At 35.0% G+C, this 12,690-nt stretch overlaps 1 protein-coding gene across 98 annotated transcripts in view; it reads left to right on the top strand.

Annotated features, from left to right (window-relative positions):
* NRCAM (neuronal cell adhesion molecule) overlaps positions 1-12,690 on the top strand; it is a 309,072-nt gene that overhangs the window by 82,048 nt on the left and 214,334 nt on the right. For 4 of the 98 annotated variants that reach the window (NR_163871.1, NM_001371130.1, NM_001371165.1 and 1 more), the window contains exon 3: positions 12,454-12,523. The exons of the other annotated variants lie outside the window; for them this stretch is intronic. The gene's annotated coding sequence lies outside the window, so the exon portion shown is untranslated. The remainder of the gene's footprint in view (positions 1-12,453; positions 12,524-12,690) is intronic. 98 annotated transcript variants of the gene reach the window in all.

Raw genomic sequence — 12,690 nt, 5'->3', positions numbered from 1 at the left:
CAGTATTTAGCACAGCATCCTACTCATAGCTCAGTGTTTGTTGAATTGAAATCTCACTTCATATTTGAATTCATCATCTTTCTACATATGCTTAATTTCTTACACTAATTTGAGAAAACGCAGAAATGAGCCTCATTAAGAGAGTACTCCATAATGAATTCAGATGGCCTGTTGTTCATTCTGGGAACAGAACATTAATTATAATATTCAGGTAGAGTCTTCCTCTTGCTCCAGGTATTACTACATTAAACCTTAGGTGCTTTGCTTGGGGTTTTATGAGATGATAATTTGGTCATTGAAATGATACACTATACCAAACTATTCGTAACACATTTTGAGTGTACACACTAGATTTTGTTCAGTTATCAGTTGTTCCTCATCAAGTCTTAATGATAACTTCTAGTGACTGCAACTGAAGTCTCATTCAGACTAGATTCTTCTCCATGTGTTCCACTGGAATGTTTTCTTCTAGCTTCAGAGCCCTAGTTACTAGTCATTAAGACTGCTTACTCTCATGTACTTTTCAGGAATAGCCTTTCAGTACTAAGTATTAGGTTATGTCAGTAGGAGGCTTCCCTTTTCTCTAATATGCATGGCAAAACACTGGCTCCCTGCTTTGCCTGAAAATGGCTATATGAAGCAGTTCTGTGTCTCTGGTCTGGGTGTTTTGTTTCATGGCTGTGTTTTTCTCTGCTGGCATCACTGTTGTTTTGTACTCTCTATTGATGGGAAGGACATTTAAAAACATTTTAAGAATTACTGTCTTAAAATCTGAGCTTAGCGTGTATTCCCCATTTAGAATAAACGTGGTTGCCATGGCACTTCCCATGTAACATCATTAAACATTCCCTACCCCTTAGGAAGTTATCAATCACCTTAAGTCCAAATGCATGTTGCCCACCCACTTACACACCAGTGACAACCATTAGCTCTGTAGTTCACAAGTCACAAGTTCACAAGTCTTGCCCTCATGTTATTATCTGGGGCAATGCCAATGGATAAGGTGGTTGCACACTCAGTGGTCCCCTTGCCTTCCTAGTGCAGGATTTGCTGGTAGGGCACCAGTGTGCTAACAACCATAACTGATTTTTGTTAGTTTCCACCTTATTGTCCCCTGTGCTTTAGTATTAGCCCATTGTAGGGGGAGCAGCTACTCATCATGGTAGATTTGGATCTGAAATTGAAAGTAAGGTAGCTGTAGCTCCCCATACCCTCTGAACAGGTCTACATCTCAGAGGAGATTCATTTCATATCCATGTCCTTGTGCCATTTTTTGAAGCAGCCTTTCACATTAAAAATGTGTATCTCTCTTATTATAGTAAGAACACCTAAGATCTGCCCTCTTAACAGATTTTTCAGTGTACAATACAGTACTGTTGAATTTAGGGACAATGGCATATGACAGATCTCTAGAACTTCTTCATCTTGCTTAATTAAAACTTTATGCCCAATGACTAGTAATTTTCCATTTCCTCCTACTTCCACCCCTTGGCAATCGCCATTGTACTCTTTGATTCTATGAATTTGACTATTTTAGATACCTCCTATAAGTGGAACCATGCAGTATTTATCTTCCTGTGACTAGCTTATTTAACTTAGCATAATGTCCTCAATGTTCATCCATGTAGTTGCATATTACAGAATATTCTTTTTTTTAAGGCTGAACAGTATTCCACGGTATGTATATATGTTTTCTTTACCCATTTATCTGTTGATGGGCATTTAGATCATTTCTACATCTTGGCTATTGTGATTAGTGCTGCAAGAAACACAGGAATGCACATATTCCTTTGAGATGTTGATTTCAATTCTTCTGGGCAAATACCCAGAAGTAGGAATGCTGGATCATATGGTAGTTCTATTTTTAATTTTTTGAGGAATCTCCATACTGTTTTTGTAGTGACTTCAGCATTTTGCCTGCCCATGAAGTGTGTAATGGTTCCAGTTTCTCCACGTCCATGCCAACACTTGTCTTTTGTTTATTTGTTTGTAATGGCCATTCTAACAAGTATGAGGTGATATTTCATTGTAGTTTTGATTTGCATATTTCCTTAATGACTAATGATGTTGAACTTTTTTTAATATACCTATTGGCCATTTCTCTTTCTTCTTTGGAGAAATGTCTGCTCAAGTCCTTAGCCCATTTTAAAATCAGATTTGTTTAAAACTATTGAGTTATAGGAGTTCTTTATTTTGGATGTTAACTCCTTATCGGGCAAATGGTTTGCAGATACTTTCTCCTATTCCATAGGTTGCCTTTAACTCTATTGATAATTTCCTTTCCTGTACAGATTTTTTGTTGTTGTTGTTGTTTGATATAGTCCCACTTATTCTTTTTCATTTTGGTTGCTGGTGCTTTTGGTGTCACATTCATGAAATCAATGTCATGCAGCTTTTCCCTTATGTTTTTTTCTAGGTGTGTTACAGTTTCAGGGCTTACCTTTAAGTCTTTAAGCTGTTTTGAATGGGGTTTTGTGTGCATAAGATCAGAAACCAGGTTTATTCATTTGTGGATATCTAGATTTGGCAGCACCATTTGCTGAAGATAAGATTCTTGCCCCATTGTGAATTCTTTGCACCTTTGTTGAAGTTAGTTGACTGTATATGTGTGGATTTATTTCTGGGCTTGCTGTTCTGTTCTATTGGCCTATATGTATTTCTTTATGCCAGTACCATGCTGTCTTGATTACTGTAGCTTTGTAATATATTTTGAAATCAGGAAGTGTGATGCCTCCAGCTTTGTTCTTTCTCAAGATTGATTTGGCTATTCATGATCTTTTGTGGCTCCATGTGAATTATAGAATTGTTTTTTCTATTTCTGTTAAAATGCCATTGAGATTTTAATAAGCATTGTATTGAATCTGTAGATCACTTTGGGTAATATTAACAAGTAAACATATTTTTACTGTACTATTATAGAAGCACTTTCTCCATGTCATCTATATAACTGTTATATTAATGGAACTTGGACTCCAGCTGAGTAATCTGGAATAAGAGGCAGTGTCTTAATCATCTGTATATCCACAGTGGCAATTCTAGTGCCTTACACCTAGAGATATTCAACACATAGTTGTTAATAATTCAATTTGTAAAAATATGTTTTTTTATCCCAAACTTTTGAGAACACTTTTCTAGCATCAAGTTCTCTTCAGCCTACAAAGAAAACATATCATCTCCCTCTGTGCAGCCCTGAAGACATTTACGTACAATAGCATGCCCTTAGTGTGGAGTGAGAGTCAAAGACCTTTTGATCCCTTCCACTTTATTCCCTCCCTGCTTACTGGTTGTAGTGGCAGAGTAGAAGGCAGTGGGGGAGGTTGCTGAACAAGAACTAAAACAGCAAAGTGCCTGTCCCCACATTCTCCAAGAAATGTCCAAGAAAATAAAATTTTAGCCCAACTTTTCCCTTTCTTCATTGCCCTCTTACTCTGTTACACTAACGTGTTTTTATGACCAATAGGCTTAGCCTTTAATATCTGCTAGGTAAAATTAATTCTCATCCTACAACTACTTATATTTGCTATGGTCTCAGAGTCTCTGTAAAAAGAAGGAAATCTGAGTTATCCTTGGTCTAGCTTTTGTTTTTCATCTGAAGAAAACAAATTTTGTTTTTATAGGAGCTAGCAGGTCATTTCTGTTATTCTAGCTCATTCAAATCTATTGTCTGCAACAAATTTCTCAGTGTTTTAAAGAAGAAATCCAGTTCTGGTGGATAACATCAGAACATTAAAAAATGAGCAAATTTTGGAGGCAGATGTAAGTAGAACCTGGTTGGAGAAATATTATTAATATGACGGCAAGTATATATGAATTCTGTAAGGTGTGAAGAAGCAGTTATGAAAGATGCTGTATTTTAAGCCTGGGAATGTGGGTGTGCTGCCATCTTGACTAGGCTTAAAATTAACCACAGTCTTGAAGCTTTAACTTGTATATATAATGTGGGAGATGTATTACAGAAATAGATACAGCAAATGTTTACCCAGTCTACTTTTACTGCTACTTTGGAGCACACAAAACAAGTTATTTATTATAATATTAAGGAAATCGGGGCCAATGAGTTAAATATTTGGCTATCTGAAAAACGTTACGATTTTATTAATGTTTACAGAAATAGCATGATTGCTAATTTATTATCCTAGAAAGTTTTGACCAAATATTCTTCTTCTATTTATTTAATCACTCTCCTTAAAATATTTTTTCTTTGCTATCCATGCTTATTATTTTTGGAAATGACCTTTTTACAGTGAGACCAGTCTTTTGGTAATACATGAAAACATTCTATGTTGCCTGACTCTCTGATTCTATTTCCGAGGGATCTGAGAGAGTTGGCATAGAAAGTAAGACGCAAAGAAAGCCCTCCAAATATACAAGAATGCACCCGAAGCCTAACTTGTCTAGAACAGCTTTAACTTGAAACTTTGGAAAACATTGGCTCAGGCTGAATTGTTCTCAAGATTATAATACTCTATTAAATTCCTTTCTAGTAATTATTTGCATCAGTTACATCATATCTCTGGGGCACTTTGAGATAATTTTATGATAGAAAAATAATGATAAGTATAGAGAACTACAGTTAAATTCTTCATCAAGCCTAGAAAATAGGTCAGCAGTTTCATCAGAATGAATGATTCTATTACCGAATATTTTCAGACAGCTGGATTGACTCTTTTAATCGTAATAGTTTGCTAAAAAATAATTTTTAAATAACTACTTAGTTTTCATGAACCTAAAATTCTCAAGTAAGATTTATTATTTTGTTTATCAGATAGTGTTTTCTCCAAATGATGCTAAAGTTCAAGTTTCTACCCTCTTTAAAAATTTTATATTCTAAGTACCTGAAGCATAATGGCTTCAAAGGGAAAATGTAGTATGAGTCTATATGTTAAAGCTAATCAGCAAACAGATGCTTAATTATAAGATAACAGGTTAACTAATGTGGGAGAATTTAAAGATGGATAAGCCATTTTAACAAACATTCAGGTAAGGCACAATAATGTTCTTGCTCTCAGAACTTCTTAGTGTACTAGGGGAAGGAAAACTCGTCCTTAAATAAAATTGCCTGCAAGTCAGAGAAGAAAACAAACCCTACAAATGTGATATGAGCAAATAACTAAAAAACTACTTGGGAACAATATATATTTGAAGAGGATAAACACAGTGAGCTAATAACATCTGCTGGTTTCTCTTTAGAAACAGAATTTAATTAAATGAATTTAAAAAGTGATTAAATGTTTTAAAGGAAAATACTTTCAAAGACTTTTCAGTGGCCTATATTTCATAAGTTACTTTTTAAATTTTCAAAAAAAATTATCAGTAATTTATTCTATATACTATTCTGATAAATGTACAAATTTGCTAAGGTAAATAATTAAGAATTATATATTAGTGTCAAAATGTATGTGGGTGGATACACTTATAAATTAGATGTTTTGTAATTATAATCCTATAAATATAAAATTACTCAGATAATTGGAATTAATTGGAATAGGCTTGTTTGAATATTCTGAAACTTGCTAACATGAATTACATTATAAATAAGTTAAAATTAGTATTGAATGCATCATCTGTATCACAATCTTCTGTTTTTATTGAAAAATCTTCAAATTGGTTTTACAAAGAGAATTATATAGAATACATTAAGTATTTTTAATAAGGTTTATTTTCTTCTTGGTACTTTTAAAATCAGCTCAAGTCATGTCTAAATTATCTGTTAAATCCCCCTATTTTAGTATCTTAATGCTATTCAATATTTGGATTTACAGCATTTCCTACACAGGTCATGTTCATTGTACTATTGAGAAGTTTGTATGATTAGTTGCCCATGTAAGAATATATCCCTAAGTAAAGCCACCAGTTTTATCAACATTAATGTGCTTTCGGAGAGTGAATCTTTCAGAAATATACGGTTTCTCATGCTATTTGCTCTACTTCACGCTTGTTTTTTTTTCTGGTTTGAGGAATTTGTTCTACAGCATGTTTGTTAGATCAGCTGGCCCTTGGCACTACAATGAACACGAAGTCATGCAAACAGATGGAGAAATTTAATTTTCAAGTCAGGAAAGGATTCCATAGCAACATTTGAGTGAAATATATGTCTCGTCACATTTATTGGGCTGCTGTTGTTACAAACCAAACATACACATAAATGTAATCTGTAGAGGGATGCTTAAAATACACACTGTTCATCTATTCCCCTAAAATCTTTCCTCTTTTTCAACGGAAAAGATTTTTTACTGTATTTCAGAAGTGTGTATGTATGCGTGTGTATGTATTTAGCAAGTCAGATGGTTTCTGACAAGGTTTAATAAACTTCACTTGGTAAGTCAAGTCACATTAGGAAAATTTTCACCCATACTTCTGTGAGCAGAAATTAATCTTTTAGAAACCATGTTTCAGGGCTTAGATTATGTATTCAGCAGTAGTGAGCAGGCGGGGGGGTGGGGGGGGGTATGAAAGTGTGATTCCACGTGGCTGAGGCTCCTGCAGGAAGAGCCGGTGCTAAATATAACACAGTGGGATCTAGGCAGAACATCAGAAACCTGGTGAGGATCAAGATAAAAATAACAATCCTATTAGCCCCCTCTAACTGGAAGAGAGTCAACCTCAGAGCTCAAATAATGTGTGTTTTCATCCAGCTCTATATCATGGTGGTTAAAAGGCATAATGGTGATATTGAGGAATGAGACGATTCGAACTACTTCCCTAAACACGAACAAAACTTAACCTGTACCATACGTTAGGGTTTGAGTCTTTTTATATATAAATGTTTGACATTGATAGATAAGGCATGTGTGCTTTATATGGTAACTTTTAGTAATAAAAATATTTGTTTTAAGTGGATTACCACATTTTCCAACCATTTTGGAGAAATGACTATTTATATGACACATTGCATTTGTATAAGCACTTTTTCTTAACTTCTCAAAAAAATTTTCACTTACAACATATGATTTTTCTTTCACATGGTTCTCTGCTTGGTAAAGGTGAGACTCTCCTTCAGATATAGAAGAAAAGAAAATTGGGTTTACAGATAAGAATGTTTTGCAAAAATGTTAAATGTGAAAAATTCTAGCACATTTCCAAAATCTAGCTTAACTCTGCTTACAAAATAGCTGCCCCAAACTCCTACAGAGTTCCTGTATGAATAATTCTATTACTGAGCAAACAATGAATTCAGGAAAACAAATATGTTAGTGGTTGCTTTAGGATCTTTATAGGTGGAACCTCAGTTATTAATTTAAGAATTAATCAGTCTTAAAAACTCAGATGTCTTACAAGATTCCACATTATTATAAATCAAATGCATTCTTCAAGCTTTAATCAGATATACATTAAAAATGAAAATACTATATATATATTTCATATCTAATGTGATTATTCACTTTTATATGTTAAAAATATGAACTTAGAGTTTTAGCAGGATGATATTTCAAAGCAGTTGCTTTTTGATATAGTGGTCAAAATATTTGATTGGATCCAAGCAGGTACCTTTCTTTGTAGGTATCTCCAATATTATAGTCTGTGTGATTTAACATGCCCATAATTAGTTGAGAAAGTCACTTTCACTTTCCCATTTTCTGTTCTAATCAAAGTAGCAGACTGCCAAAGAATTGAGTAAATGCTATTTTAACATTTGGTGTTAGGTATATGACATCTCTCTTCAAAATCATTTCAGTAGTTTCTTCTCACTTATCCTTGGATACAGTTAGTTGCTCTGGGGTACGAAAATAATATGGAAGATAACACATTTTAACCTAGAATGGGAAAATCTTTAGCTTTTTGTCCCAGCTTTACTTAAGCATCGCCCAAGCCTTGTTCTAAGATGACAAATGATCATTATAATATAGTATGGTGTAGTCAAATGAGTTGGACTCAGATATATCTGGCATTGAATTCCAGCTGTACAATCTTGGACAATTAGCTTGCAATTAGGTATTTACACCAGTATTTGAGATTGTGGTGAATTTTCTTTTGGTTGACTTTTTGTGGGACACTCACTGCCTGCCAGGCACCCTGTTAAGTCTTTGCATGCTTTTCTTTTTAATTCTCAGTAACAACTCTTTGTCGTAAAAGTTGTAATATTCATTTTACAGGTGGGGAAAGCAAAACTTGGAGAATTAAGCAATTCGTCCAATGAGGCAGAACTAACATTTAAATTCAAGTTATCTGATGTGGAGCTAGTCTTTCATCTCTACCTTACACTGGCAGACCTCTGTTTATGAAACACATATCTTCATATCTAACCTTTTTAAAATAAGCAGACATTCAGAATATATCATTTCATAAGACTTTTACATTAGTGGTTCAATTGCAGTCTTATAAAATTTCTGTGTAAATGTCTTTAAATATATCTCCACCTATCACTTTATTAACCAGAGCATGGGACAGAATCATGAATCTGATATGTATTATGCCTATATTGGTCTTTTTGTGCTGCTGTAACAAAAAACCTGAGACTGGTAATTTATAAAGAACAGAAATTTATTTCTCATAGTTCCGGGGGCTGGGAAGTCCGAGAAAGGCACGGACAGAGTCAGTGACTGGTGAGGGTTACTTTCTGCTTCCAAGATGGCACCTTGAACCCTGTGTCCTCACATGGCAGAAGAGATGGAAAGGAACAAGCCCACTCCTTCAAGCCCTTCTATGAGGGCCCCAGTCTCCTCCATGAGAGCTCTGCCCTGATGATTAAATTACTCTTAAAGGCCTCCGCTCATAACGCTATCATATTGGTGATAAAGTTTTAACATATGAATTTTGAGAGATGCATTCAGACCACAGCAATACCTAAAGCCTTTACATGTTACTTAAATATCCAATAATAAAAAGCACAATTTGGGGCCCCAAAAAAATCCCACAAATAACCAAAAAGGCATATTTTTACAAAATAAAATTAAGTCACCTCTGAATTGGAAAAGTATTTAAATTTGAAGCAATTGTAAATCTTTTTTAGCATCCTTTTGTTCACAGCCTCTGTATTCAGGTTTTCTTATGTGGAACCAAGAAGGGCATGCTGTTTGTATGTTTTAGCTGTGTGGTTTTCATCCTGAATATGTATCTGTCTGAATACGAGAAGGAAGAATAAATTAATAATTAATATGTTACAAGCCTTTTTCATATTATCTTAGATTTTAAATGTTCTCACTATAAAGAAATTATAAGTATGTGAGGTGCTGGATATGTTGATTAGCCCAATTTTATCATTCTACAATATATACATGTATTGAAACATCACATTTTAATGAAAATATACAACTATTACTTGTCAATGAAAAATAAAATAAAACTTTTGAAGATAATTTTATGGAGTAAATAGGACACTTTGATGAGAAATACAAGATTTGAGAGGTTGAGATATAATCATTATAATACATTAAAATGTAATGGTTTAGAGCTAGCTTTGGAATAAGTCAGCTTGGGTTTAAGCCTGTTTCACTTTCCTAGTCTTTAAACTGTAGGTAATAACACCTACCTCTTGGCACGACTATAAGGATTAAATAAAATAATGTATATTAAATGCTAAAAATATATATATGTTAAATGCTAAATTATCAGGTCAGTGTATGTAAGTCTCTTCAAAGATTATACTCCCCAGCACCATGAGCTTGTAGGTATGTAATTACTGCTTTTAGCTCAGGGTAATGTAGGGGCTGGCTGTCTTTGGCACTATATTATTTTTTAATAACAGCTATATTGAGATATATTTCACATATGATACATTTCACCTTTGAAAGTGCACAATTGAGTTGTGCAACCATCATCATTATCTGACTTCAAAACTCTTTCGTCATCTCCAAAAGAAGCTATGTTCCCATACACAGTCACTCCCCATTCTCCCCTTCCCCACCCCTCTGCAACCACTAAGCTACCTTATGTTTCTGTGGATTTGCCTAGTTTGGACATTTCATATGAGTGGAATGGCTTTTTTAACTGTCTTTTTTTTTTTTGACTTAGCGTAATGTTTTTAAGGTTCATCCATGTTGTAAAGTGGCAGCCATATGGCCAGATAACATGTCATTGTATGGATATATGCCACATTTTGTTTATTCATTAATCAGTAGATGGATATTTGAGTTGATTTCACATTTTGTCTATGATAAATAATACTACTATGAACATGAATGGACAGGTTTTTGTGTGGATATATGCTTTCAGTTCTCCCGGGTCTATACATAGGAGTGGAATCTCTGGGTCATATAGTAACTCTATATTTAATATTTTGAGGAGCTGCCAAACTGTTTTTCAAAGTGCCTATACCATTTTACAGTCCCATTAGCAATGTATGAGGGTTTCATTTTCTCCACATTCTCACCAACACTTGCTATTGTCAGCTTTTCTATTATAGCTATCTTAATGGATGTGAAGTGATATCTCACTGTGATTTTCATTTGCATTTTCTTAATGACTAATGATGTTGAGCATGTCTTCATGTTCTTGTTTCCGTTTGTGTATCTTCTTTGAAGAAACGTCTGTTCAAATCCTTTGCCCATCTTTTAAATTTTATTTCTTAGAACATTTATAGATTTATAGAAAAATTACAAAGATAGTACAGAGACTTCCCGTAAATACCACACCCAGTTTCCCCTATTATTAACGTCTTGCATTTGGCTGGTATATTTGTTATAATTAATGAATCAATATGAATACATTATTATTAACTGTATACTTATTCATATTTCCTTAGATTTTTACTAATCTTGTTTTTTTCTTCTGTCCCAGGATCCTATCTAGGATACCATATTACATTTTATTTGTTATGTCTCCCTAGGATCCTCTTGGCTGTGACAGTTTCTCAGACTTTCCTTGTTTTTGATGACCTTGACAGTTTTGAGGTGAATTGATCAGATATTTTTTGTAAGATATCCCTCTATTGTGATTTGCCAGAGGTCTTTCTCATGATAAGACTAGGGCTAAGGCCACAGAGGTAGAGTGCTATTTTCATCACATCATATCATATCAAAAATATATACTATCAACATGACATCACTGTTGATGTTGGCCTTGATCACCTGGCTGAGGTAGTATTTATCAGGTTTCTGCACTGTAAAGAGACTACCCAATCCTTCCATACTGTACTCTTTGGAAGGAAGTCACTATGAGCAGTTCACACTTAAGAAGTAGAGGGTTGGGCTGGATGCAGTGGCTCACACCTATAATCCCATAACTTTGAGAGGCCAAGGCAGGCACATGGTTTGAGACCAGCCTGGGCAACATGGCGAAAAATTTGGCTGGGCATGGTGGCACACGCCTGTCGTCCCAGCTACTTGGGAGGCTGAGGTGGGAGGATCCGTTGAACCTGGGAGGTGGAGGTTGCAGGAAGCCAACGTCGTACTATGAGCGCACCACTGCACTCCAGCCTGAGCAACAGAGTGAGAACCTGTCTCAAAAAAAAAGGAAATAGTGGGTTATACTCTACCTCCTTGAGGGTGGAGTATCTGCATAAATTATTTGAAATTCTTTTTCACAGAACATATGTCTCTCTTCATTATTTAATCATTTGTTTATATCAGTTTGTACTCATGGATATTTATTTTATACTTGGGATTATAATCCAATTTGACTTTTTCTTATTTCTTAAATTATTCTAGTTAGGCCATTGGGAGCTCTTTCAATTGGCTCCCATGTCTCTGTGGCATTCTCTCATCCTGATGTTTTAGAGTTTTGTTTGTTTGTTTAGCAAGTTCTTAAGATGCTCCAGGCTCATCTTGCACATTTCCTGCCCCAATTCTAGAATGAGTCATTTTTCCAAGGAACCCTGGTTTATTTTATTGGTAAATGGTGTTAGAAACCAAGATTTGGTCACTAGGTGTGCTCACTGCTACTAGTTTTTTTTCAGCAAACAGAAGTAGGAAATACGGAAATGCATGATAACCTGTGTAGATACACATATCTATAAATATTCCTATATGTAACCATCTGTATATTTGGCTAAGGATGAGTTTGTATCAAAGTCTCCAACTTAAATCTATTACCACAAGGATTTTTCTAGCCTCTTCCCCTTTCTTGTCTGTAAACTCCCATTCCAGCAGTGAGAAATTTGGCTCCTACCATCCACCAACCATGTACTTAACTGTCCAATTTCAGTATATATGTATAGGAGTTTCTGAATTGTTAGTCCATATTTCTAAATAGGATACAGCTTTGCCAACAAACTGTATGTTAAGATTCATCCTTGTCTTTTGAAGGCTTGATAGCTCATTCATTTTTATCTCTGAATAATATCCTATTATGGATATACAGCAATTTGGTTACCCATTCACCCATTGTTATGGTCTGAATGTTTATGTTCCTCAAAATTCATATGTTGAAATCTGAACCCTCAGGGTGATGATATTAGGAAGTGGGGCCTTTGGGAGCTGATTAGGTCATGACACAGGGCCCTCACGATGGGATTAGTGCTCTTATAAAAGAGACCCCAGAAAGATCCCTCACTCCTTTCTCCACTTGGGATTACAGTGAAAGGACAGCCCTCATCAGACACCAGATCTGCCAGGCTTTGATCTGGGACTTTCCAGTCTACAGAACTGTGAGAAATATATTTCTGTTGTTTATCAGCCACCCAGCTTGTGGTATTTTGCTATAGCAGATTGGACGGACTAAGACATCTATTAAAAGACATCTGGGTTGCTTCCAGTTTGGGGCATTATGAGTAAAGCTGCTATAAACATTTGTATGCAGGTTTTTATGTTGACA

The sequence above is a fragment of the Homo sapiens genome, chromosome 7 (genome assembly GCF_000001405.40).
Source record: "Homo sapiens chromosome 7, GRCh38.p14 Primary Assembly".
Lineage (NCBI taxonomy): Eukaryota > Metazoa > Chordata > Mammalia > Primates > Hominidae > Homo > Homo sapiens.
This window is presented reverse-complemented; position numbering and strand designations above follow the sequence as displayed.